This window comes from Homo sapiens, chromosome 2 (assembly GCF_000001405.40).
Source record: "Homo sapiens chromosome 2, GRCh38.p14 Primary Assembly".
In the NCBI taxonomy this organism is placed as follows: Eukaryota; Metazoa; Chordata; class Mammalia; order Primates; family Hominidae; genus Homo; species Homo sapiens.
The window spans coordinates 118,968,628-118,994,079 of record NC_000002.12 but is presented as its reverse complement, the minus strand read 5'-3'; the positions used below and the strand labels follow the sequence as shown (position 1 = coordinate 118,994,079).

At 49.5% G+C, this 25,452-nt stretch overlaps 1 protein-coding gene and 1 long non-coding RNA gene across 5 annotated transcripts in view, besides 2 other annotated features; one reads left to right on the top strand and one right to left on the bottom strand.

Annotated features, from left to right (window-relative positions):
* The window catches only part of MARCO (macrophage receptor with collagenous structure), a 52,467-nt gene that overhangs the window by 581 nt on the left and 26,434 nt on the right, over positions 1-25,452 (bottom strand). Inside the window, exons 2-16 of one of the 4 annotated variants that reach the window (NM_006770.4) lie at positions 24,819-24,920; positions 23,742-23,966; positions 22,546-22,581; positions 19,640-19,747; positions 19,515-19,559; positions 16,565-16,609; positions 16,145-16,252; positions 12,573-12,671; positions 12,424-12,459; positions 11,826-11,924; positions 11,670-11,732; positions 3,447-3,491; positions 2,205-2,303; positions 1,604-1,648; positions 780-956 (exon numbers count right to left, since the gene is read on the bottom strand). In NM_006770.4, the coding sequence (NP_006761.1) occupies positions 780-956; positions 1,604-1,648; positions 2,205-2,303; positions 3,447-3,491; positions 11,670-11,732; positions 11,826-11,924; positions 12,424-12,459; positions 12,573-12,671; positions 16,145-16,252; positions 16,565-16,609; positions 19,515-19,559; positions 19,640-19,747; positions 22,546-22,581; positions 23,742-23,966; positions 24,819-24,920 (1,332 nt within the window). Of the gene's footprint in view, positions 1-779; positions 957-1,603; positions 1,649-2,204; positions 2,310-3,446; positions 3,492-11,669; positions 11,733-11,825; positions 11,925-12,423; positions 12,460-12,572; positions 12,672-15,673; positions 15,892-16,144; positions 16,253-16,564; positions 16,610-19,514; positions 19,560-19,639; positions 19,748-22,545; positions 22,582-23,741; positions 23,967-24,818; positions 24,921-25,452 lie in introns of those variants that run through there. The other 3 variants (XM_011512082.3, XM_011512083.4, XM_017005171.3) reach the window with 3 other exon arrangements.
* Positions 484-1,683: an enhancer, noted in NCBI's record as "MED14-independent group 3 enhancer chr2:119749973-119751172 (GRCh37/hg19 assembly coordinates)". NCBI's record gives its function as "activates an origin of replication core promoter dependent on BRD2, BRD4, P300/CBP and CDK7 cofactors, and independent of MED14, by STARR-seq in HCT116 cells {active_cell/tissue: HCT116}" and the evidence as "EXISTENCE:reporter gene assay evidence [ECO:0000049][PMID:35650434]".
* LOC124906072 (uncharacterized) lies at positions 762-3,873 on the top strand. The gene is made up of 3 exons (XR_007087213.1): positions 762-1,009; positions 2,914-2,992; positions 3,594-3,873. It is a non-coding gene; the product is annotated as an uncharacterized LOC124906072 (long non-coding RNA).
* Positions 4,592-5,093: an enhancer, noted in NCBI's record as "H3K4me1 hESC enhancer chr2:119746563-119747064 (GRCh37/hg19 assembly coordinates)". NCBI's record gives its function as "activates a minimal SCP1, AML or CMV promoter by ChIP-STARR-seq in primed H9 embryonic stem cells {active_cell/tissue: H9 hESC(primed)}" and the evidence as "EXISTENCE:reporter gene assay evidence [ECO:0000049][PMID:30033119]".

Here is a 25,452-nt window from a genome sequence, read left to right as displayed (position 1 = left end):
AGTTTCCTCCCTGCAAATTCACTCCTGCTGCGTCCACCTGCCTCACATGCCTCTGTAATCAAGCCATCGCCCTGCTCTAAAGTGGGCATTTGCTTTGGTTTGGGTAAGGACAGGGAGCACTTGGGGCTGGGAGCAAGGGAAACTGGCCTCATGTCCTGCTGGGCCAGATCCTATAGCCAGAGAAAAGGGTTCTGCCTGGGGACTTAACTTCTTTGCTCAAGGCTTGAACTTTTGGCTGAAAGATATAGGCTGAGTCTCCAGCATCCGAAGACATTTTCCACACATTTTAGTAAGTCCCTGCTCTGATTTGCTTTCTCTTCCCTTCCCATCTTCTCTTTAAAGATGATCACAGCCAAGACTGCTTGCTGGTCAATCCAGGCTGCTGGTTCACAGACAGCTGGAGTGAACATCTGCGTTTGCCTGCCCTGAATCTTCTCTCTGTTCTTCCAGTTGCATCAACTCAGCTGTCCTTTGGAGAGCCATCTGCGGCAAACACCCTCAGCCATGTGGCATTCTGACTCCAGGGCTGGATGGACCTTGACCGAAGCCAGGCCAGCCTTCACTGTCAGCGCTGGAGAAGACAGGCCATCTTTCTGCTGGGGTTGCCAAGCTGGAAGGATGCATACCTGGAGCCCTGCACTGCAGAGCTTTTTGGTTGCTTGGACCAATATTTTTCTTTTAAAGAAAACCACACTGAGTCACTTGCCAACACCCCACCAGCGAGAGAAAGCCACATCCACACCTCTGGGGAAGAGGCCCCCGGCTGATGACTCACTTACCAGCTCCCACTTTGTACAGGGCCCTTCCTTTGGAGTAACCCAGCATGCGGCAGAAGACAATGGCATCAGAATTTTGCCACTCGTCATCGCAAATTGTCCCCCAGGTACCACTGTAGTAAACTTCAGCCCGGCCTCGGTTACTACTGCCGACAATCCTGACGGACACTGAGTTTTCACCTGGGTGAAGAAACACACATGGGAGAGGCAAGGAAGGCCCCTTGGGGCTTTGGGTAAGTGCGGGCTCTTTCTTTTCATTTTGGAGTTCTACAGTTAAGGAAAAGAAATGCCCCTGCTTGACTGTCACCAGAGCCTGGAAGATCCCACTTTACAGTGCCAACCCAACCTGGCACGCAGCCTCCATGCACCTGGGGCCTGCAGGCACAAGGCCACAGGGGCAGGTGCCCCTGTGGCTGGTTTGCAAATCGCATACACCACGTCTTGTCATGTGTTGTGGAGAGAAAAAAAGGAAAGCTGAGAAAAGAGAAGGAAGGAAGGAAAGAATGGAGAGAGAGAGGGAAAGGAAGGAGGGATGGAGAGGAAAGAAAGAAGGGAAAGGGGAGGAAGGGAGGGAGGGAGAGAGAAAAGGAAAGGAAGAAGGAGAAAGGGGGAAGGAAGGGAGAGAAGGAAGGAAGGGAGAGAGTGGCTGGGGAGAGAAACTGCTGCTCTGTGCCGTGGGCAGGCTCATTCAAGGGACTAGACCCTCAACTCCTCCCCAAAATGAGAAATTTATTTGAGAACCAAGGTCTCTTCCCCCAACACACACAATTTTCAGGTGCAGAATTGACTTTAAAGCACACATTAAAGATAATATAAATAGTGATTACCTCTTTCACCTTTTTCTCCCTTTACTCCTTGCTCCCCAGAAGATCCTGTCATGAGGAGAAAACCCACACGGTTTGAAAGAAACCCAGGCAGGACGCCTTTGCCTGCATTTGCATGAGTGGGGAGCGGGTGGAGGGTTGGGAGTGGTCAGATGCTCCGTGGGTCTCGCCTGTGGCCTGGCATTATGGGGATGGGATGTCCTGCGGGTGTCAATGACTGAGCAGGAAGAAACGGGCCTGAGCTACAGCAAGAGGGGTTGAAGTTAGATTGGTGAGGGATGCTTGGTCTGGTCAGAGATATGGAGTGGGATGGGCTCATCTCCTTCATGGAAACTGCCTAGGAGTGTTGGGTCGTGGGGCATGGCTCAAGTGCATGTTCACGCCCCTGCCTTGGATGCTAGAGCTGCGCCTAACCCGCTGCTGTGTGCTCCATGCCTAGGGCAAGCCCCAGCACAAGACTTGTCAATCAAGGAAATAAACCTCTACCCTCCTGGGTTCTGAAAATCCCCAGAACTCTTAAAACAGCGCCTTTCCTATTTTAAGGTACAGAACTGGCTGTAAAGCACAGTCCTAAGAACAAAGGAATCAGATGCAGAGGCCTTACCTTTCACTCCCTGGTCTCCCTTCTGGCCAGCTTGTCCAGGGGCTCCCTTGGGACCTGCCAGCCCTGGGCTCCCCTGTTCTCCCTTCACACCTGCAGGGCCTGGAAGGAGAGACACTGCCCTGATCAGGTGCCCTGCTTTGCCTTCCCAAGAGAGACCCAAGGGCATTACTGTTTAATAAATGAGTTATCCTTAACTGCCAGACCTCCCCCATGGCTGGGCTATCTGAATGTTCAGCCTGTCTTTGGTCCATCTGGGGGCTGCACTGATCTCTCAACTCTTAGGTAAATGCTGTCGAGAACAGGCAGGCTAAAATAGCTGGTGGTATTCCACAGATTCTTGGTCCTTCTGGAATTACATAGTTATGTGGAAGTTCTAGCCATGCTGGGAGAATTTGCTAGAATGTTTCTAAGCCTCGATGTCTCCTTTAGTGAATTGAAATAGTAACAGAGGCCGAGTACAGTGGCTTACTCCTGTAATCCCAAGCTTTGGGAGACGAAGGTGGGAGGATCACTTGATCCCGGGAGGCCAAGGCTACAGTGAGCTATCCTGTCCTGGCACCACTGCATTCGGGCCTGGGTGACACAGAGAATTTGTCTCTAAAAAAATTGAAAAAAAAAAAAACCATAAAACATAATAGAATATCTAGCTTATGAGGAAGAAAACTTGCTCAAGAAATGTGTCTGAAAAATCTCACTTTTGCACTCACAGGGGCAGGGCTCTTGAGAGGCCTAGAAACACCGTCCAGCTGGTGCCAGCTCAGTACCCAACTGAAGCACAGGCTCTGGAGGTGAGGATAAGAATAAGAAAGCCCAGTGACAGGCAGCAGGAGGCAGAGAGGAGAAGCTTGGGGGCCAAGAAGAGACAAGTGGGCCACAGCTGAGGTGGGGAAGCAGCAGCCGTGGATGGAGCAGAAGGGGCACAGCTCCATGGCGGCTGTAGAGCCTGGAGCCTCTGCCTGCACCCCCAGCTCTCCTGACATTTTTCCCCTTTGCCATCCTCAGCCCCTTTGCCATCCTCAGCCCCTGCCCCATACGCTACACCCCTCAGGATGTTGAGTTCCTGTGGTTCCCAGGTTTTGCAGCGGAGAAATCTGAGGCTTGAGTGACAGAGCCCTGGAGTCTTAACCTCCACTTTGGGAGAAGGTCACAGCTGTGCATTCAATGTCAACAAGACCTGCCCTCTGAGAAGGCAGGCCTTCCCCGTCATCACTCCGAGGGATGAAGATGCAGCCTGCCCTTTACCTGGAACTCCTGATTCTCCTTTTCTTCCTTGCTGTCCTTGAAGTCCTAAGATCAAAACAAAAAAGGGGGGGGGGAGGAGATAATAAAACTTAGGTATTAGACATTTTTAATCTTAGACAACCTCTACCTTTTGTCTGATTAATGCAGATGGAAAGATACATTGGTTCTCCACGATTGTTTAAAGCCTCTTCAGCAGATCATGAAAAGAGACAGTCTGCAGATGAATGAGAACAGGTGTGTTGGGGGTGAAACGGCAAAGTACTGGATGAAAGCCTGGATTAGACAGACCCCAGATGCACCACTGGCCTTCCCTGCCCCCCGGTAACCTGACCTGGCATCTAAATCCAATCCCATTCCCTGCTGTTGCATTTATATTGGAAGAGAATTGGGAGATATTTGGTAAATAAAGTTATCTTTATTGCTAAAAGACTGTGGAGGGGCTCAGTGGCCACCAGGAGCTTTGGAGGTCCTCCTGCATAGTAGATGCTCTTCAAGTATTTGTTGGTTTTTTTCATTGTGGCTCCCAGTGGCTAAAGATTCATGTGGCTAAAGGGTCTAATGTCCAGAAAATGGAAAAATAATAACCACAGTCATTGATGATGATCCTATTGTAGTTAATGTTAAAGGTCCCCCTTTCTTCCTTCTTTCCATCCATTCATCCTTTTTTTTCAGTAAACTTTCATGGAAGGCCCACTGTCCCCAGCATCCTGCTGGGTCACTGAGATAATAATTTGTTCATTTAGCAAGATCATGTCCTCTTGATTTTAAGTGCCAATATTTATTTTATTTCAGAGAAATAGGACTCCTCAAGGCAGTTACACAAACTTGGGAAAATGCAAGCTCATTATTGACTATCAATAACAGTTACTAGAGGGTAATGAGGGGAACACCAACAGTGAGTCATAAGTATCTGTGTCCCCAGCCAAGCATGGAGCTCAGTCAACCTCCTTGCAGTTGCCTCGGGGAAGTTTCTGCCTGCCCTGCCCCACCTCTCACTTCAATCCCTGGATTTCCCAAGCACCTGCAGTGTGCTGGTCAGTGGAGGGAGAGGCAAGGGGCTGGCAGACCTCTTCAGGGCCCCTTCTTGGAATAACGAGCAAGAGAAGTTGTGACTCTGGGGGCATTTCAGATCCCACCTCCAGGCCTGGTGCTGCCTGGGGAGGAGGGCTGGAGAGCTAAGGGGCTGGGAGCTGCCGCTGCAGACCCAGGCAACAAGAGAAGCAGGAAGCACCAGAAGATTCTGAGAGGGCAGCTACTTCTGTTCCTCGTGTTAGGGAAAGGGACAGAACTGAGGTTGGGATAGGTTTTTGTAAGAGCTGGAGGTGCCTTAGAGGTCAGCCCCTGGCAGACAGGCCCCAGCTTACACAGGGCCATTTGTGCACACACCTGTCCCTCTGAATAGAATGCCTCACTGCTTTGGTTCACCTGGAGAACTCACATTTAGCTTGTAAACTCTGCAAAGATGTCAGATGTCACCACCTGTGAAGCCTTCTCTCCCTCGCCCAAGACAAGATATCCTTTCTCCCAAGGCAGTAAAGCAAAGTGGTTCCAAAGTCTGACAGCCCGGACTTGAGTCCACTTCTGTCTTATACTAACTTTGTGACCTTGAGCCAGGTGTCCCTGCTCTGAGCCTCAGTTTCCTTCTCTGAGTCTCCTTGTTTGCCTCCTGAGGCAGTTGTAAGGCTGAAATGAAATCGTGTGTATCAAGCGCTGAGCCCGGTGCCCAGCCAGTGCTGAATAAATGATGTAACAGGACCCACAGTGTCCTGTGTCCCCTCCAGGTGGGGAGCACCTCAGGCACTGAGGTTGAGTCCACACATGAGCACCAGGATTGCTGCACAGCTAGCACCCAGAAAATGTCTGCTATTGACCTGAAGGGCTTAGCTGAGATTGCCCAGGAGAAGCGACAGATGTTTCCCTTCTGCTTACCTGCATCTGAACAGCATACGCCAAGATGGGTTGGGCGAAAGATCACATTCTGTATGTCTATGATGGTGATGAAGTAGAAAACAGTCCACATCCAGGGAGGTCACTATGTCTTGGGGTCCCTGAACCCTACCTCTAGGGACACGCTCTTAAGGTAGAGATTTCTGCAACATGGCACCCTCTGGGATGCAGATAGAAGGGGCCAAGAGTCTGGATGTGGACTGTTTCCTGCTTCATCACCATCATAGACATATAGATTGTGGTCTTTCTCCCCACCAGTCTTGACATACGCTGTTCACATGCAGGTAAGTAGAAGGGGCCTCAAAACACTGTGACCACCCTTTATTGTGACCACCTAAAGAGATGCACCCCTCCAACTGTCCCCTAAAGCACCGAGCAGCAAACACCCTCTAAAGACAGGAATCATAGGGAAGCCCCTGTTCACCAGGTCCATAGCCCCAAGCCTGACTCTCCCTCTTCATTTCCCACACTCTCCCTTCCTAGCTCCTCACCTCCAGGGGACTCAGCATTTTCTGCTGCCTGCATCACGCCAGGCACTGTGCCAGGGGCTTTACATCCATGACCTTGTTTGATCTTTCAGCCACCCTCCAAGGCAGTGTGATTTCCCTCCTTTACAGAGGAGAAAGTACACACTCAGAGATGCTAGGTGAGTAATTCAAGGTCACATAAGAGTGAATGGGGGAAGTTGGGGCTGTCACCCAGGCCCAGCCTCCCAATGTTCCCTGAAGGCACCTTTGTTCCACTAGTACTAGGCTCACTCCTATCTGGAGTTTCACTTGGTCTACGCACTTGGTTCCCAAGACACCTCCAGCCTCCCTGAGGCCATTTCTTCCCCCTAAAAGAGGAGTAGTCAAACTAGAGAATACATCAGAATCATCTGGGTGCATCTTGTTAGTAAACAACTTGCTAGGTCCCACCGGAGTCACTGATTTAGTGGGACTGGAGTGGGAATCCAAGAATCCACAGTACTAACAAGTTCCCAGGTGATGCTAATGCTGCAAGTCTCAGGACCACATTTTGAGTAACACTGCCCTAAACAACTCTCACTCATTCTTGAGCGACCAGCTTACAGCCCACCTCCTACGAGCAGCCTTCCTTGTCTCTTTAGGAGCTCACAGCCCCTCTCGCATCTGAATCCTCCCAGACCCACAGTTCCTATAGCAGAGGTTGGACCTTGATGAAATGCCTTCTGATATGTATTTAATGGGTATTGGAAATTAGAATTGAGGTTTGTATCATTTCTCTCCAAGCCTCGCTGGACTCTAAGAGAACACTGGCTGAGTGGTTGTCCATGGACTAATCGATGGAGGAACTAGTAATTACTTCACTATAAATCAAGGCAGCATCCTGATAGGATCAGCTCCTGCAGAGTAGAGGGAGAAATGGCTAAAAAATAGGTTCTAGAGCTGCATGTTGTAAAACTACGCTGGAGAGCAAATAAATGCTGGATTTTTCTTCTTAACCATAAGCAAGCTGGCTTTCCCCAAGTATCACAAGCTTATCAAGCTGAAAGGGTTCCAAATATTTACTTGCAAAGTGTTTTTACAGAAATAATATTCTCCCAAGAAATGTGTGTTAAGTTAGAAAACATATGCCTTCCAGTTGTTTAGTGTTGAGCTGGTGTTCTGACTAAAGTCTTCAATTGTTCCTGCTCCCAGGGAAGCTGCCTATTTCAAACCCAGAGTGCTGTGAAACTGTCAGGGACCTGGTGTTCTTCTATACTGCTTGCACGCCACAGAAAAGGAAACAGGCTCAGCAACGTCAAGTAGCTGAGCCTGTGGTCACTCAGCTAGTCAGGGGTAAGTTCAAGCTGAGGCTCAGATCTCCTGATTCTGAGTGAAATGGAGAAATCTCCAATACATTAAGAAAACTTTCTTTCTTTCCCTTTCTTTTCTTTTCTCTCACACTCTTTCTTTTCTTTCTTTCTTCTTTCTTTCTCTTTCTTTCTCTTTCTTTCTTTCTTTTCTTTCTTTCTTTCTTTCTTTCTTTCTTTCTTTCTTTCTTTCTTTCTTTCCTTCCTTCCTTCCTTCCTTCTTTCTTTCTTTCTTTCTTTCTTTCTTTCTTTCTTTCTTTCTTTCTTTCTTTCTTTCTTTCTTTCTTCTTTCCTTCCCTCCCTCCCTCCCTCCCTTCCTTCCTTCCTCTCTCTCTCTTTCTTTCTTTCTTCTTTTTGACAGGGTCTCACTCTGTTGCTCAGGCTGGAGTGCAGTGGTGCAATCATAGCTCACTGCAGGCTCAAATTCTTTGGCTCAAGTGATCCTTCTCCTCCTCCTTCAGCCACCTGAGTAGCTGAGACTACAGGTACATGCCACTATGCCCAGCTAATTTTTTTATGTTTTGTAGAGAGGGGGACATTGCTGTCTTGCCCCGTCTGGGGAAACTTTCCTAAATACCATGCCAACTTGGAGGCTAGATGCAACCTGGCAAATTTAGGATTGAGCTAATAACTGACAAATCGACCTTGTGGTAAGAAGTGAGATGAAGGATAAGGGACTCAAAATTGGGGTATGTGTAGACTTCTGCAAAGCTCTCTCAGAAACTTAGAGGAAAATGAGGAAGAGTTTTATAAATGACAATTTAGTGATTTGACTTAGTAGAATTTAATAAATTATTGGACTATCTCAGAACTTAGATATAAGGAATGGAATTAACTAAGAAATTATATTCATGACATAGGGCTCAATTGCTATTATGGATGATCTTTTTGGCTTATCTTTAAAGTAAAACATCTTCAAATACAGATGAGAAAATGGATTTTGAGTTATTTGCACTTCGGTTTTGCCCCAAGAGGAAAATAAAAGGGCATGGAAAATTCACATTGCTATAGTTTAGACATAAAGGCCATTGAGATAAAGAATTTCCAATCAGATTGGTGTTTTGGAGTTTAAATGTTTTGGCTGCTTCTAATGTTATTTCATGAGGTGTAAATGGTAAAAAGAGAAATGTCATGATTACAAGCCGAAGTGGAGTCCTTCCTTATTTCTAAATAAATATTATTTCAAAATAGCTAAGACATGTAGAGCTAAAATTGGATTATTCTTCTGCAATCTTTGAAAGTGAAAATGTTAGAAATACTAAGTGATGGAGGCTGGACAGGGTCTGTTTCTAGTAGGTAAAAAAAGTGACCCTGAGAGAAGGTTCTGCAGGGTATGGTGCCTTGCTTAATAAACTGTGGAGGTTATCTTCCCACCAGAATGGGAAGAATTTCCTCTTTGTCTTCTTTAATATGAGCTGGCTCCTCTCTCAAGAGATGCAAACAAGAGGAAGCATTTCACCTGAATGGGGTAGAGTGTGGTCAGTGGCTGTGGAGGAGGTAGAAAGGCTTGGTGACCAAGCCAGGATTTACCCATTTATGGAGGAGTGGGAGGTGTGGCTGGGGTGGGGACAGGGTGAAGGTAACCGATTTCTCTCAAATCATACACTCTACGTTCTTCCATAAAACCGATTCTGGAAAAGCACAACTCTGGAATCAGACTTTGGGATTCACTTCTGAATTCAGTTCATGCTCCCTGTGACACTGTGAGCAAAGGGTTTACTCTCTCTGAGCCTTTGCTTCCTTGTTTGTAAAGTAGGAATGATAAGTTCAGTGTGATCATGGGAGTCAAGACCCAGGCACAGTGCCTGGCCCAGAGGCACTGATAATAATGAACAGACCGCTCATGTTTTTAAAATAATTAATGCGCAGTAATGAAACCTAGCTGTCACCTAGGTCAAGCCAACGCACTGTAATTTTTCTGTTTTCATCTAAAGTGGCTAGATATTCTCTTGAGAGATTAACGATTTTATTTACAAAATGGGAAATACATCAGTTTGGAAACCTGGCTTGATATATCAACACTGGCCAAGCACTGCAGTGGCTTTAGTTTGGGGAATACCGACATCCTGACATTGACAAGTATACACTGTGCTCCATGATGGGGAGATTGGGCTCCCACCCTCTGCCTGCCCCTGCTTCTCCCACTTCAGAAGTTGTCAAATCTAATCTCTCCGGAAGTTTATTAGCCTATGACTCCAGGATGATCTACATACCCAGCTAAATTAGCCAGATTATGGTCCTATTGGAATTCCCCTCTGAGATGTCCATGTGGACTGTCAGCTACTAAATCAAGGAAAACATTTGGACTCGGGTGGGCAACCTGCACAGTTTTAGATAAACGGGAATTATCACAAGCCCCAAATTGAAATGCACTTCCTCATGTTTACTTGGTCAGCCAGAATTAAGGGTAACCCCTAGAATTTGCTGGCTGGTACTCACCACTAGGCCTAATTATTGGAGAACTCCATAAGGGTATTCAGCAGATATAAAAGGTCTCGATGAGGATGAAATTAAAATGATCCCCAAGCTATGGGCCAAAAGTCTTTTGCTAAAATGGGTGTGGGGTCCTGGTTAAATAACTAAGAACCATGATAGGGCCTGAAAGCTTCATGTTTCTTCCCAGGAATGGAACAAGCTGCTACCTTCTGCTCTGATCCTTTCTGAACTGGGATGAAGGGAGGAGGTGTCACTCATCAGCACACCCTGATTGTGGGGCTGGGGAGGGAGAACTCATGATAGACTGTACTAATAAGATCCCAAGCTTTGTCTTGTACTGGCCTAGATTTGAACCTGGCTGCATCTCTTAATGGCTGTTTGACCGTAAAGTTGTGCTACAAAGAGTGCTTGTCCCACTGGGTGTCAAGAAGATGCTCATTAGCAGGAGCTGCTTTTGTTCTGCAAATCCTCCCAGGATGCAAAGGGCAGGGCAGGATTCCCTACCCTCAGACTGTGGAAGACACAAGCTTGGGGCTTGGGGAGTAAGCACAATGCTCCTGTGGGTAAAATCATGTTTTACCTCCAATACTCTTGGTTAGTTGAGAACCGTTAGTCTGGCAGTGGGGGTGGGGGCAGAGGGTGACTACTATTTACAACCGAGAGATGAAAGCAATCATCTCCATGAAATCACACAGAAGGCTCAGGGGCAAGAGAGCATCAGGTCTCATAGTCAGATGGACTCTGAGACTGGGGACCAGAGAAGATGGAATTATAAGATCAGAATGGACAGTGAACAAGTCAGGAACATCTGACGACTATACCCAGATGGAAACTTTCCTATGGTGAGACCCAGCTAGTGGCCTTCAGGTGGCATCCACATGGGATCAGGTAGCAGGGATCCTCCCAAACACACTGTCCATAAAAAACACAATTGCTCTGGGGCTCGACAGATTACAAGGACAGAGAGGGTGTAAAACTGCGCTTGCCATGGCTCCCGACAGCTTTCAAAGAAACACAAAAGCTCAAGCCCAGAGCCCAAGGTTTGCCAGGAGGTGGTGATGAATGAATCAATCAATTGATTAGAGCTGTGGAGGGCCAGGTCCCAGTGTAGGTCTCTAGCACAGCACGGGGGTGAGGGCATCCAGGTTGTCTGACACAAGCGTGACCTTCTCAGGCAGAGGACAGGGGTGGAGGCAGACTGTCTACAGATGTCCTTGGCAGACATGCAGCTTTACATCACAACCCTGCCTTCCCCATTGCCCCTCCTGCCCGCTCTTGGCTTTCCAATGTGCAACAGTTCTCCACAGAAATGCCCAATCAGAGTGTGCCCACATCATCTGGCAACAGTCTCTGTTCACTGCAATACCCTGCATGTCAGGGCAGAAAGGCAGGAATTGATCTTATGCATTGTGATAGTGGTCTGGACTTTCTAGACCAAGCAAGCACACTGTGACTGGACCAAAACGGCTTATAAAGTAGACTATATTGGTACAATGGTTTACGACCTAGACTAAATAGACATGATGGTATATAACCTAGACTAACCTAGACTCTGTTGGCATTATGGTATAAACTAGTCTTTGGCTAGTGTGGGTCAGTGCTCCCAGGCTGCCCCCCTAGGAAAATGTGGAAGAAGAGTTTTCTGGACCCTCCAGCCTGAATCTAGACTCTTGGACCCCCTCTTAGGGGCCCCAATGAAGGGTTAGCAGGAGACAGCAGAAACGTACAGCTGGGAGGCAGACCAGGGAGATGGTATGGGCAAGGTGCTTTGCTCTCCTCCGTGATGCTGGAGGTTTGGTCATGGCATTCAAGGACTTTCATGAGCTCTGAGAAGAGAAAGAACAGCCCTAGGCCCTTGGGCTTAAGGGGTCCTGGCAGGGGCAACTGCCCCCATAACCAGGAACCTCAGAGGCCAAGGCACAGAAGACCCTCTGCCTCCTCCGTGGGCCTAAGAAGAAGCAGTTTTTCTCTCCATCCATCCTGCCACCCAGCAAGCCCACCTACTCACCCACTGCACCCTCTGTTACCTGTGTCCCCTTTGCTTCCTTTCAGGCCTGTGGCTCCTGGACTCCCGGGGCTCCCTGGAAGTCCTGGACAACAGACACCACAGAGAGCATAAGGGCTGGACTAGGCAGGTTTTCACACATCACTCCCTGTGCCCACCATAGGACCCAGGACCTCACCTGCTCGCCCAGGGGAGCCAGCACTGCCAGGCTCACCCTTGGCACCTGGGTGTCCCACTGCACCAGGAGGGCCCGGAACACCCTGCAGTCCAGGTTGTCCTGAAAGGAAAGTAGTGACTGCCAGGCTGTGGTGGTTGGCAGAGGGCCCAGATACCCCAACCCCCAGTGCTTCTGTTTTCAGCAGTGAGACATGTACCTCTTAACACCTTACAGTCCTCTTGGCAGCTTTAACACCTCTCTTTAGAAGCCATGAGCTAGCCCTCTTAGTAGGAGGAAAATTATTCTCAGCAACTTACTAATCTTTTCCATCTGCAGGGCCTGGGACTTATGGACTTACTAGGAGCTCTGGGTGTGACTGTCCAACTCCACCCCCTGGGTGGCAAAGTGGGGTAAAGTCTAGAGAGAAACATCAGTGAGGCCTGCCCCCACCGCCCACTGGCTGCTCTGTTCCTCTTGGCCAGGGCCAGATGTCTAAAAAACCCCAGGTGTTCTGGGTGAATACTACAATGAAGCAAAAGATGGTGGTGTCTGGTCCCCAGCTTCACTCTGCCAGGGACAGTCGTAGCTGGGATGATGCCCAGATTCCTGTAGTTCTTACCTTGATCTCCTTTAGCTCCAGGAAAACCAGCCAAACCTAAGATGAAAAAGAACTTTTAGGAATTTTTTTTTCCTTTGGCTCAGCCAGCCAGAAAAAAAAAAAAAAGGAAATACCTAGAGGTCAGTGGATGTGACCACGTGCCCTCTTACCTGGTGGGCCTGGCCTCCCGAAGTCACCTTTACTCCCCTGGGCTCCAGGAGGCCCCATGACCCCTGCATCTCCTTTCATGCCCCTGTCCCCTTTGCTTCCTGAAAAACCAAAAAGTCTTGGTTAGTTGTGGGAGGAACTCCAATCAGGCCACCATGTCCTCCTCTGACACTTCCCATTCCACTGAAATCCCAAACCCTAAACTCCTTGAGCTCCTACTTGGTGCCCGCGAGTGGAAGATATGACCGCTGCCCTCAAGGAGTGCACCGCTTTGCCCCAGAGACAAGAAAGAAACTCATGAAAATTTGGTGAGGTGATCTGGTATGGCTGACAGTCAACAGAAAGCCCTGGTCCCCTTGGGAGGGACAATAGCCAAGGCTCAGCCAGCACTGTCTGGCTTGTTTTAGTGTCTGCATTTTGGCAATTATTTGAATTCACTTCAAAAATTGAAACCTGAGTATTCCGAAAAGCAGATCCCAAATGCTGAGAATAGCAACTCTGAGGCATCAATAGAGAGAAAAACACTGCAGCAGCTCATATTCCTGCCAGCACTTCAGACATGGGCTTTCCTGGTACCCAAGATTTCAAATTTTCCACTTATCATCAGAATTCAGAGCTCATCCTAGCCTGTCCCCTTCTGAGTCCTCTGTCGCTCCCTCCTCTCTTGCTGGTGCCTGGTGCATATCAATTGACAGAGGCTCCTCACTGGGGTAGGGCTCTGTGACTTCTTTGGTTTAGGGGTGGACTGCCTGGACCTTGCCAGCCATGCAATGCAGGGTACTACTGGTAGGCTGCCAAGGTCCCACCATCAGCTGGGTGTCCGTGCTCAACTCCACTCCCCTGGGGGTGGGTAGAGTGGGGCAAAGGTCTAAAGAGGAATATCTCACCTCAACACAACATTTTAGGCTTTCAAAAAGGCTTATTGGGATGCAATTTTGCTAAAAGGCATTTATTGCTCCAATCTATGATTTTGATAATTCTGAAGCTGGGGAGGACTCAGGCATGACACCAGCCTTCTCTCCAGTGAATTAGAAAAGGGGAGAGAGAGCTCTGAAGAGGTGAGGAAGAAGGGAGAGCCCTGGGTCTTAGCATTGAGTGCTGTGAATTCACGAGGTATGAGGCTCATGAATCAGACCCCTTGAGATGGCTGAATACTTGAAGGGTGGCTGCTCCTTGAGGAAGACAAAGCAATCCTAAGGAACTTGGTTATGGCTGAGGCGTCCTATAACAGCTGGAGATGCAAAAAGCAGAGGAGGCTGTTCTTGGCCGTTCAGAGTGTCCACCCTGGAGAAGGGGCCAACGGCACCTGTTAGAAGGCACTGAGAACTGTTTCCCTGGAGGAATCTGTTGGTGCCTTTTTTGCTGTGGGCCAGGACCATCAAGTTACAGCATTGCTGGGCCACATGAAGTTTCTTCAGAATGGTCTGGACCTGCATCTGTGTTGCTATAACTTCCACTCCCCAGCAAAGGGAATGGCTTTGGGAAGAGGGCAGTATCACATCAGTCAGAGGACCACACTCTGGCTCTAGCCAAGGAAGCACAGCTGCCTGACTTCAGAACTTCCCAACTGTAGCTAAGTAGTAGAGTGAGGAAAATAGGCTTATCCCCTGGGACTTTAAGTTGGTGGCTTATCTGTCTACTAGCAGGAAGAGAATAGGTAAAATCTCAGCACTATTGGGGTCAGGTCTCTCTTGGTTTGCACAGCCCAGCCACCAGCAGTGGATTGAGCAAGCCATGGGTAAGAGAGACCTCATGATCTTGGGAGAGGAAATTTGGGAAGAGGAGGGGTGGGCCTGAGTCCTGATTTTTGAAGAACTCAAACTGCTGCCTTTCCCTTCGCCAACCACAGCGTTTCCAAGCCTGAGTCTGGGTGTGGATTCTATGCGTGCCTTTGTGACAGTGTGGTTGGGAAGCTGCATAACTCAGACTCAGTGGGCAAAGACCTGGCTGAGGCCCCTTCTCTGGGGCTGGCAGGACCACCTTGAGAAAGTCTGGGTCTCCCTTTCCCATCTATAAAGAGAACTGTGTTGTTCCAGCTTTGGAAGGATCCTCAGAGGTCAACCACCCAACCATGTTCCTGGTGCCAGTATCCCTCATCAGACCAGCCTAGGAGAATTCTGCAGCCCCTCCTCCCCTCCCAGCAGTCAGCTTCCCGCTAAAACCCATGCCCACGCACTTCATCATGGGTCAGCCCCAGGTTCTGAATCATTCTTCCTCCCTTGCCTTAGCACAATTGGTCCTCCTGAAACCTTAGTCCATTGGTCCTTGTTCTTCTGCTGGGTACCACCCTGGGCAAGACCATTTTCTTTCCCACAAATGCCCTTTGAATATTTGAGGATGGCTGACACATCCCTACTAAGGGCTGTCTTCTTGAGGGCAAGGCTTCCCAGTTTTTTTGTAAGGAATTCCCATGTGCCAGGTACAGTGGTACACATCTCATATGTCTTATATTCCTGCAGTAATTCATCCTCATTAAAGGTTTGTATTATTATTAGCTCCCTTTTCTAGGAGAGTAAATTGAGGCTAAGAGAGGTTAATTCATTTGCCCAAGGTCACACAGTTAGTGAGCCATATCAGAACCCAGGTCTGTCTGATCTTGAAACTGAAGTCCTTCCCTTTCTACGTTACAGGATAACTACTACTACTATTATTATTACTAATACTATTACTATTACTAGCTATCACATATTTAATGCCTATTACTAGTTGTCATGTATTTAATGCCTATCATGTTGCAGACAGCTTGAAAACATGGTCTCTAACCCTTATTACTGTCTTGTAAAATATATCTAATTTAATTATTTTTTAACTTAATTACCATTCTTTTCTAAAATGAGAACATTAAAGCTCAGAAGGGTGAAGTATTGCGTTAGTCACACAGGGGAGCAGGTGCAGAGCAGGGATGGGAACCAAGCCCGCCTGGCCCCGCAATCCTCACTCTCTGCCATTCACTGCAGAGCCTCCCCAATGACTGCAGGAGGCTGAGAGGCGGAGAGCGTGGCATGCTCAGTCAAGTCCAGAGCCCATAAGCCAGTGTTTCTTCGAGTGTGGTGCACAGACCTTCATGGTCAGAACCATCCAGGGCATTTGAAACAGACCCTCGAGCCCTCCCTGCATTTTAAGCAAGCACCCAAACAGCTCTTATGATATTGGCCCTTGGCTTGAGGAACACTGTTCTAGAGATAGCACCCTCAGTCAATGGGGGATTCTGGCTGCCTGGGGTCTCCCTCCTTGAATCAATCCCCTTGCCCTTGCCACCAGTCAGTCTGCCCTGCTTCCCAAGGCCCAGTGCAGGCCCACTCTCCTCATCCCCTTGGCTTCCTCTCTGAGCTCCTAGCACTGCCTGTGCCCCAGCTTGCCATAGTCATGCCTGGAATGACATTGTTCTCCCTCTCATATTGCATCTCTTTGCTCACCCGGAAAGAAGAGACTATGTGTGGTGCTCCAGAGATTCCCATAGACAGAGCACTGCCTTGCCCTCAGTGGGCACTGAATAGACCCAATGGCACAGAGGTCAGGCCCTAGTTCCCTCAGGCCTCCTGGCAAGCACCGACACCCCCAATACGGCCCTCACCTGGGAGACCCAGGTCTCCTTTCTCTCCCTTAGTTCCAGTTTCCCCTTTTGGGCCAATGAGACCCCCATCGCCTTTGCTGCCCTTCTCTCCTTGGGGTCCTGGGGTGCCTGCAAAGAGAATGGCTGGTGAGATGGGCTCCCACTATCCTTTTGGGGACAGGCTACCAGAGGCAAAGGGGCAGGAAGCATTTGGGAGAGAAGGGAATGGGATCCCCAGATTTCCTCTGGGGGATGTGCTAGCTCATTTCTTGGGTGGTCTTGAAGAAATGTGACAGGACTCAAGAGAAGAGGACTGTAGGGTGGGCAGTAACTGTCAGGGGCTGGGGTGGGGCTGTGGAAAGAGGATGGGGGGTGGGGGGGAACTGCCTCAGTGCCTCAGGCTATGCATCATTTGTCCCTAGCAGAGCAAGTACAAGTTACCAGTGGCTCCTTGCTTCCCTGGAGCACCCTGGGGTCCTTGGAGGCCTGTGAGGAAGGAAAAAAGAGCTCAGTTGCTGTGGCCTGAGAATGTCTAAAATGTCTTTAATCAGCTGACATTCTAGATTCCCTTAGTTGAGCAAGGTTCCCAGAAGGAGATCTTTCTCTCTCTCTCACTCTCACTCTCTCTCTCTCTCTCTTTTTCACACACATGCACACACACAATCACACACATATGATTGCACAAACACAACCAGCAGAGTCCCTGGCAGTTCCAGGCAGTGTTTGCTCTTGCTATGGCATGAAAGTGTCCCTCAAAAGTTCATGCATTGGAAGCCTGGTCCTTAATGCAGCAGGTCCTAGTGGGGAGGTGTTTGGGTCACAAAGACAGATCTCTTATGAAGAGATTAATCCCATCTGGCAAGATGGAGTGAGTTCCTGCTCTTGTGAGACTAGATTAGTTACCAAGAGAGCTAGTTCCATTTCTCCACCACATTTTGACTCAACACAAGGCCCTCACCAGAAGCTGCCAGAGATAGCTGCCCAATCTTGAACTTCCCAGCCTGCAGAATCATGAGCTAAGTAAACCTCTATTCTGTGTAAATTACCCAGTCTCAGGTATTCTGTAGTAGTGACACAAAACAGGCTAAGACAGCTCTCTTCCCAAAGGTCCAGAACAGCACCTAGGAATATGTCCTGCATGGCAGTGCAGGAAAGGCTTTAGAGTCAGGCAAGTGTGTTTGAATTGTAGCTCTGTCACTCCCCAGGCTGATAACTTTGGAAAAGTCACTTAAGTATTCTGCATCTGAATTTTCTCATCTGTAAAATGGGGCTGCTAATGACTACCTGTCCTCAGCAGATGCATAATTAGTGTTCTAAGACAAAATTGGAATTGAGAAACGGTGATTCCCACCCACATGGCCCAGGTATCCAAGGCTAGCATATGGAGTACAGACTGGAGGTGCTGGGTGTTCCTGGGGCAGGGGCAGGGGCAGGGAGGGATCTGTTGAGGAGAGAAATGGTGAGACTATGAGGGGAAATTGAGGGATCCAGGAGGCAAAGTGGAAAAGGATGGGAAGGAGAGGAGTGAGAGGAGGTGGGTGTATATAGAGAGGCTCTAAGTGAGTTGCTGAATTACACAAGCTTTTCCTGAGGATGCCAGTGGGGCCCAAGCAGAAAGTGCAGATGGGCTCTGGACTCCACACTCTCTATGGAACCACAACAGCCTACTTTGTGGATCTGTTTCATGTATGTGGGTTCCAGATGATTTGGGCTGAAAAAGGGGTTGCCTGGTTTTAGTGCTAGTGGTTGCACAGTCCTGCTCTGAGCCCTCTGTCAAGGCTGTGTGATGTGCCTACCTGTCAGAGTCCTAAAGAGAAGGGGAGGCTCCAGCTCTATTCCTTCTTGAAGGAAATGACTGTGCTCCTCAGGCTTCTGGCTTTTCCCTTCAAGCCAGCCTCAGTGGCTCCACTCTGGTGAGTTTCAGTCACCTAGCCTGAGTCCCTCTCTCTCGGAGGAAAGAGGATGGAGGGAGACCCACTCCCCTCTGAGTGAGCCTGCTCTGCTCAAGCCCCCACAGGCTGAGTGTGAGTGTGTGTGCATGGGGGGTGCGAATGTCTGCAAATGTGTGTGAGCATATGCATATGTGCACAAGTGTGATTGTACTTGTGCAAGTGTAAGAATGCAAATATGTACATAGATGTGTGCTCAGACACGGGTGTGCATGAGTATATGCGTGTATGTGAGTGCATATATGTGCATGAGTATATGTGTGTATGTGAGTGCATGTGTGTGCATGAGTGTGATTACATTGGTGCGTGAGTGAGTGTGAGAATGCAAGTATGTGCACAGATGTGCCCTCAGACATGAGTGTGAGTGTGTGTGGTGTGAATGCATGTGCACACCTCTGACTGCACCATAAACCTTCCTTCTTCTGGTCTGCCTATCCTCCCCGCTTAAACCCTCCTCAGAAAACCCCCTGCTGGACACAGATCAATAGGCTCTTTGGGGTCCCTTCTATTAAATTCCTTCCCAAAATCAATTTCTGGAGGATTCTACCTCCTAACAAGTTTCCTTTCTTGTAACTGGTGGTGTTTTCTTTCTGCCTCAGCAGCCTGGCGGCTTAGAGACCTGCTTTGTTTACTCCCCACTCCCTTGTAAATCCTCTCATCTGCCCTTTGTCTAGTAAAGGTCTTAATGTCTTCGCATCTTCACATCCCAGCAGCCTCAACCCCTTGCGGAATTTGCAAGTTGGAGTTTCTAAATTAAGGGTGGATGGGAGCAGAGTGGAATGGAAAACTGATGTTTGGGTTTGTCCCTGGGGAGGGACAGCTCTGGGCCCCCCATTCTCTGACCGGGCCCCGTGAACCCATTTATATTAATAAGATGGCTGGGCAGAATTAGGCAACAGTCTAAAAAAATGGAAACTAATACTTTCCAAGCAACGATCATGAGCTTTGTGTCATTGTCTCTAATCCCCCTGGCAGCCCTCTGCAGCCCTCTCATCCCCAATCACAGAAAAAGAAACTGAGGCTCGGTTTCTTTGGGAACATCAGGAAACATTCCCAAGGGCACAGAGCTAGTCCAAGGTGGAGGTGCATGTGCCTGACACCAGAGTCCTTGTTGGACCAAGGAGGCCAACTTTCCAAAGTGGCACTGGCAGACTTACATTCTCACACAGAGGAGGGGGTAGGAGTCACACCCCCCAGCCCCATCTAGGATGAAGGCCATCTAGCCATACCTGCCCCTGAGGGCGGCTGCCCAGCCCTACTCTGGCCACCAGAAAGGGTGCTTCCCAGCCTCTCATCCCCTCTGGGGTCTCCCACCAGGCCTCCGTTCACCTACAGACCCCTCAGAGGTCCAGACTCTGGAGGGAGGCTGCGTCTGCAGCCCACAGCAGTCACTCTGAGAAACTTGCTGTGTATTTCTGGGTACATACCCAGCACCTACTCACCCGCCTCTCCCTTGACTCCCGGTGGGCCTTGGGGTCCCGAGGGGCCTGGAAGGGAAAGGGAATTCAGAGTGAAGCCAGAGAAGGAGGAGGAAAATGATTAAGGGTCAGAAGAAAAAGACCCGTACCTGTTGCTCCATCTCGTCCCATAGCCCCCTTGGCTCCCTTCTCAGCAGGTGGTCCCGGCGGGCCAGGGGCACCAGGCATGCCCATGGCCCCCTTGTGACCTTGAAGACCTGAGGAAGAGGAACAGAGACACTAATGAGTCAGTCAACAGGATGGGGCAACAACGCCATGCAATCACTTACATGGTGATTCATTCAACAAACGTTCACTGAGCATGGGGATGAGCCAACTGTGTGGAAAGAAGGAAAGAAGACAGAGCTCCTCCTGCAAGAAACCCATGGCCTAGAAAGCAAAAGAGAGACACTGAGTCACAGTCCTAGGAGCAGGTGTTAGCACTGCCCCTTTAGCTGGGTGACCTTGTGCAAGTTACATCATCATTTTGAGCCTCAGCTCCCTCATCAGTAAGATGGAATTAGTGTACTAATTACACAGGGATGTCCTGAGATTACCACGTGGGGACCATCATGGAAAACACACAAGGCAAGCTCACAGGAAGGCTCACAAGGGCAGGGCCTTGTCTGTCTTCTTCATGTCTGGATCCCCAGTGCCTATGCGACTTCTCATCCTCATGGAACTTTCAATAGGTATTTGTTGGGAGGAAGGAAAGAAGTCCAGGATGGATAGGGGAGAGAAACAGAGAGGCAAGTGGGTTTCGCAATCCCCTTCCCTGAAGCTTGGCTGAGGAGCAGTTCCCCTGACTGTGTTCCAGGCAGCCTGCGTGGGAAGGCAGTTCCACCGGCAGGCTGCCTCCAGTGAGACCATGACTTCTGGGTTCCACACCCAGCCCTCCTCCCCCACCCACCTATTTGTCTCTGGAGCCTTTTCAACAAAGGAACCTCTGGGAAGTCTTGACCAGGCAAGGCAAGCCATGGGGAAGGGGAGAGAACACAGCCTCCCTGGGTGGGAAAGGGTGATGGGCGGGGAATCTGGAGAGGCAGGTGGTGTCCGAGGAGGAGCCGAGACTTCTATAGCCCCAGCTGCTGGAAGAAGTTTCCTGTCTCTGGTTTCTGGGCACAAAAAGAAAGAGTGGGAAGAGACAGAGAGAGAGAGAGAGAGACAGAAGTCAGAGACAGAGAGAGACTGAGAAAGACATGGAGAGTGAGAGTTGGAGATTTTCTCTATGTACATACATCTATATTCAGAGAGAGAGAGAGGGAGACATGGAGAGAGATAGTTGGAGTTTTTCTCTATGTACATACATCTATATTCAGAGAGACAGAGAGAGAGACATGGAGAGAGAGAGTTGGAGTTTTTCTCTGTGTACATACATCTATATTCAGAGAGACAGAGAGAGAGACATGGAGAGAGTCGGAGTTTTTCTCTATGTACATACATCTATATTCAGAGAGACAGAGAGAGAGACATGGAGAGAGAGAGTTGGAGTTTTTCTCTATGTACATACATCTATATTCAGAGAGACAGAGAGAGAGACATGGAGAGAGAGAGTTGGAGTTTTCCTCTATGTACGCACATCTATATTCATACAGAGAGAGAGAGAGCCATAGAAGCCATGTTCTGTGCTCTGGGGTGAGGTGGGCAGCACTGTGCCTAGGGCGGGTGACAGGCAGATTTTGAAGGTTGTACTGAACCCATTGGGTTGAGAAGAAGTTTAAGCATTGATTCTGTCAGCAAAAGCAATTGAAATTGTTGAAACTGCCCCTCCTTAAAGGAGAGGAGCCAGCATTCATCAGGCTGGAGGCTCTCCTAGCAGCAGCATTTAGTTTTCTCAAGAATAACAGAATAACAACCATATATAACAATAGCAAATAATAGTCATAATAATAACGAAGACAAGAACATCATTGAGTACTTGCTCTTTGCTGGACACTGGACTAAGAGGTGTACATTTATTGTTTTATCCTGACACCAATCCTAGGAAGTCCTACCATATCTCCATCTTACGGGGGAGGACATAGAGCTCAGAAATGTTAGGTGACTTACTCAAGGCCACCCAGTTTACAGGGGCAGATCCAGGATTTTCTGTAGGCCCACCAGTCTCCCAAGTCCCTGCTTCCATCACTTTGCAAGGCTGCCTCAAAACCCTCCCTGGCCAATGGTGTGATCTGGGCCATCCTTGAAATATTATGGGACCAAAGGATTCTGTCCCAAAAATGGCATGTATATTTATCCTCAGGGGGAAATTTCAACCACTCAGCAGATGAAATGGAACAGGGCTGTGAGTGAAGCGTGTGTGTAACACAACACATGTGGGTTGAGGCAGGAAGAAAAGGCAAACAACCATAGCCTTGTCCTCAGAGAGCACATGCCATTGTCAGACAGCTTTTGCACTCCCTTGAGTCCTACAGCAACTCTGTGAGGCGAGTCGATTATCTCCACTGCTTCCTACACAGGTGAGTGGCTGGGGCTCCAGAAAACTTAAGTAACTGACCCAGAGTCACACCGCCAGTAAGCCCCAGGCCCAGGATTAGAACTCAGATCGGCCTGACCGCACAGCCTGCGCCTCCATGACACCTGCCTCCCATCATTACTGCCCTGTAGGAGAGAGGAGTGAGACACCATGGAAATGAGCACAGCACCTCTGGTGGGAAGTGCTATGTATGTGGTAGGTAAGAGTCACCTGGAAGGAATGCTTACAGGAAACCAGGAGAGAGGCTGCCCTGGCAGCCAGATGATGCCTGGTCTGGCCTGGGAAGGTAGCTAGATTTGGATGGGGGAGTGGAGAGAGGAAGCCTCTTTAAGTAAGGAGGGGGATGACAGCCCAGGGTCTGGGAGTCCAGTTAAGTTCTGGGAACAGAGAGGAGACCCAACTGAAGACAAAGGAGGCTGTGGAGACAGGGGAAGGTAAGCTAGGGTCAGCTGTCCAGACCCAGAATGGCACAGGCCAAGGGGCCCTTTTGGGGAGGTTTTGGGGAAAGAGCAGGGTGGGTGTGAGTGGAAATGAACCTACCTGGGGCGCCTTGTTCACCTTTGATTCTGAACATCCCTGCAAGGGAAGGAGAGTGAGCTGCAGCTGAGCTGTGGGGTACCCTTGGCCCAAGCCCCAACTGAGAGTGCCCAGGTTCTGCAGTGGGAGGGTAAGCCCTCCTGTGTGGGGCTCCCATCAGACTGTGGGGGTTTGGACAACAGGAGCCAAGCACCTGGCTGTTTTTTGGGAAAGAGTCCTTGGAAAGAGCCAGATGCTCAGCTGCAACTAGCGGACTGCACCCCGAGACCTGTAGATCCCTGGGAGTCTTGGAGGTGGGGAAAGGAGGTTGCTTCAAACCAGCCTGAGGAGGTAGAACCCCTTCGTATTGGTCAAAATGAGCTCCTTCACATTTCAAGGAAGGAAGAGACACTCCCATGGTGTCTGTGTCTGAACGTGGACTCCTTCCATCTGCCCACAGCTATCGCCCCTCCTCACACCCCCACTCAGCCTTCGTCTTTTCTCCCTGGGGAGGCCACAGCCTCTGGAGGGATTGGCCTCCTGGGTCCCGTGCTGGGCGTACCCCTTGGTCACAGGACCTAGCCATGGGATCACCCTCCTAAGCCTCAGCTCACACAGGGCCCAGAGCAAGGAACCCTGCTGGGGCTGGAGCTCTGTGTCACGGGGTAAACCCTACAACAGTTGAGCCACACCTAGCAGCTGGTTTTGCTGAAACTGTCTGAGGGCGAGGCTCTTCCCATTTTGGGGCAGGCTGAGAGAGGAGAGGGTGCAGCTGCAAGGCCCTGAGAGCACCGAGGGAAGGGGCACCCTTGGGGTTTTAACCCTTGGCTCAATTTTCCCCAGCCTGCAGCCCTACCACCCAAGTCACCACCTTTCCCCCAGCAGGTCCGGGTGTCCTCCTCCCCACAAAGTCCCCACATTGTCTGAACTAGTTTGGTGCCTTCAGTTGCTCTCTCCCCAACCTCATGTCAGTGTAAGTCAGCTGTGGGGGAGTGGTCCAGGGAACCGCCCCAGGCTCTGTGTTTTACCCTCCCTCCCAGACATTCTGGATCCATGTGGGGACTCTGGGTTCAGACTTGGCATTGAGCTGGTTGCTCTAAGTCCCTGGCTCTTGGAGGTCACACTTTGCTTGGACAGGGTCCTTAATTTCCTGGTTCCTGATCCCGCTGTCTCCCAGACCTCTGTTGAGAAGTCCTGACCCAGAGGGGAGGAGGCCAAACCTGGGTTCTGAGTGAAGTTGTCTACCCGCTGCAGCAAGTGCTCATGGCTGACGCGGACCCAGGTGAGTTGGGCCTGCAGGACTTGCAGCCTCGATGCACCCTGAGCCAGGTGTTCTCCAGGGTGTGCTGACTGCAGCAAGGAGAAGGACGGGCTGTCCTCAGCCGCCAGAGTGTCATTGAGGAAATACATCTCCAGGACCCGGAGCCGCGCCTGCAGATTCAGAACTGGGCCCCACCCCACAGCATTCTTTTAGGGACTGAGGCATTTGAGCATATCCCTGACATTCTTGTGTCATGTGTGCATAACTTCTACAGGCCCTGAATTTGTAAACACAAATTCCATGTGCTGTCAGGACCTAGCGTGAGCACACGGCCTTTTCTACATCTTGACCATGTGCGCTCCACACTCAGGCATGATATTGCACGTCCACAAAACATTTCTGCGTGGCCTAAAGCTGTGCCTACTGCATCCACAATCAATCTCCAACCTTCAGGCAGTTAAGACCTTCCTGCATGCTCTGGGTGTAGATGCATGACAGCTAACATGCTGGTCTGACCTAAATATGTGCAAGCAGCATTCGTGTGTGATCTTAATACACACAAGACGTGTTTATGACAACTGCTCATTCAGCGTTCTTGAGTGACTTCAGTGTCTGCTCATGGAACGACTTCATGACTTTAACCTTTAGATTGGGAATACTTCAAAAGTAAAATCATGTTCAAATGGACACTTGGATCAGCAAAGCCCTTCCCACTCAGAGGCTGGGAGTCTTAGATGTCAGAAGTGTGTGTCATCCCCCGTGTGAAATTATGATGTCTTTCACTGCTTAGACACATAGGCTCACAAGAGCATTCTCAATGTCTCTCTCTCTCCCTCCCTCAGGCACACATACACACAACATACACTCCTTCTTTGCTCCTCTCATCACTGTGGCTGCCAGGGGCTGAGACTGTCTCCCAGCAGATGGGAGCAGTGGCCCGAGGCTCTCCACTCAACCTGAGCCCTTCATCTGAGGGGCCCAGCTGGGTCACCCCTCTCCCCCCAGGAGGGACTACACAGGACCAAGCCTGCTTTACCTTGGACCACCAGCAGCCCAGCGCCAGCGGTGAGCAGGATCAGGTAGATGACCACCACAGCTAGGGAGAAGTTCACCCCATTTCTCCTCTTGGGCTTTGGAACTGAAACACAAGCCAGGAGGAAGGAGGCTGCTGCAGAGAACACAGCACAGGAAGTCCCTGCCTGCTCCAGGCCCTACTCCATGTGAGCAGGGGGCACCCTGTGAGGTCAGCTGGGAAAGACACCAAAAGCTCATGACTCCCAAATCATCCCCCAATCCTCTTTCTTGCCACAAAGCAAAAATTGCCACTGTTGGTCACTCATCTGTGTGGCTGGGCAAATAAACATCTGTGCCATATATCATTTGCTGGAAAAGGTGTCATATCAACCTTGTTCACTGGTGAAGCCCCAGCATGGTGCCTGGCCCTGTTGGGTTCTCAATCTCTGTTTGTGGAATAAATTATGAATTAATGTGTTTAAATTTCAAAACTCTGGGAGGAGGAGGGTTGTTCCCATTTGGCAAACAAGTAGTGAGACTTGGAGAAATTAAATAACTTATTAGGTTATAAGAAGCAGATCTGGAATTCATGTCTAGGTCTTTTTTTTCCTTAAGATTTGTAAATTATAAAAGTAAAACATGCTTGATATATTTTA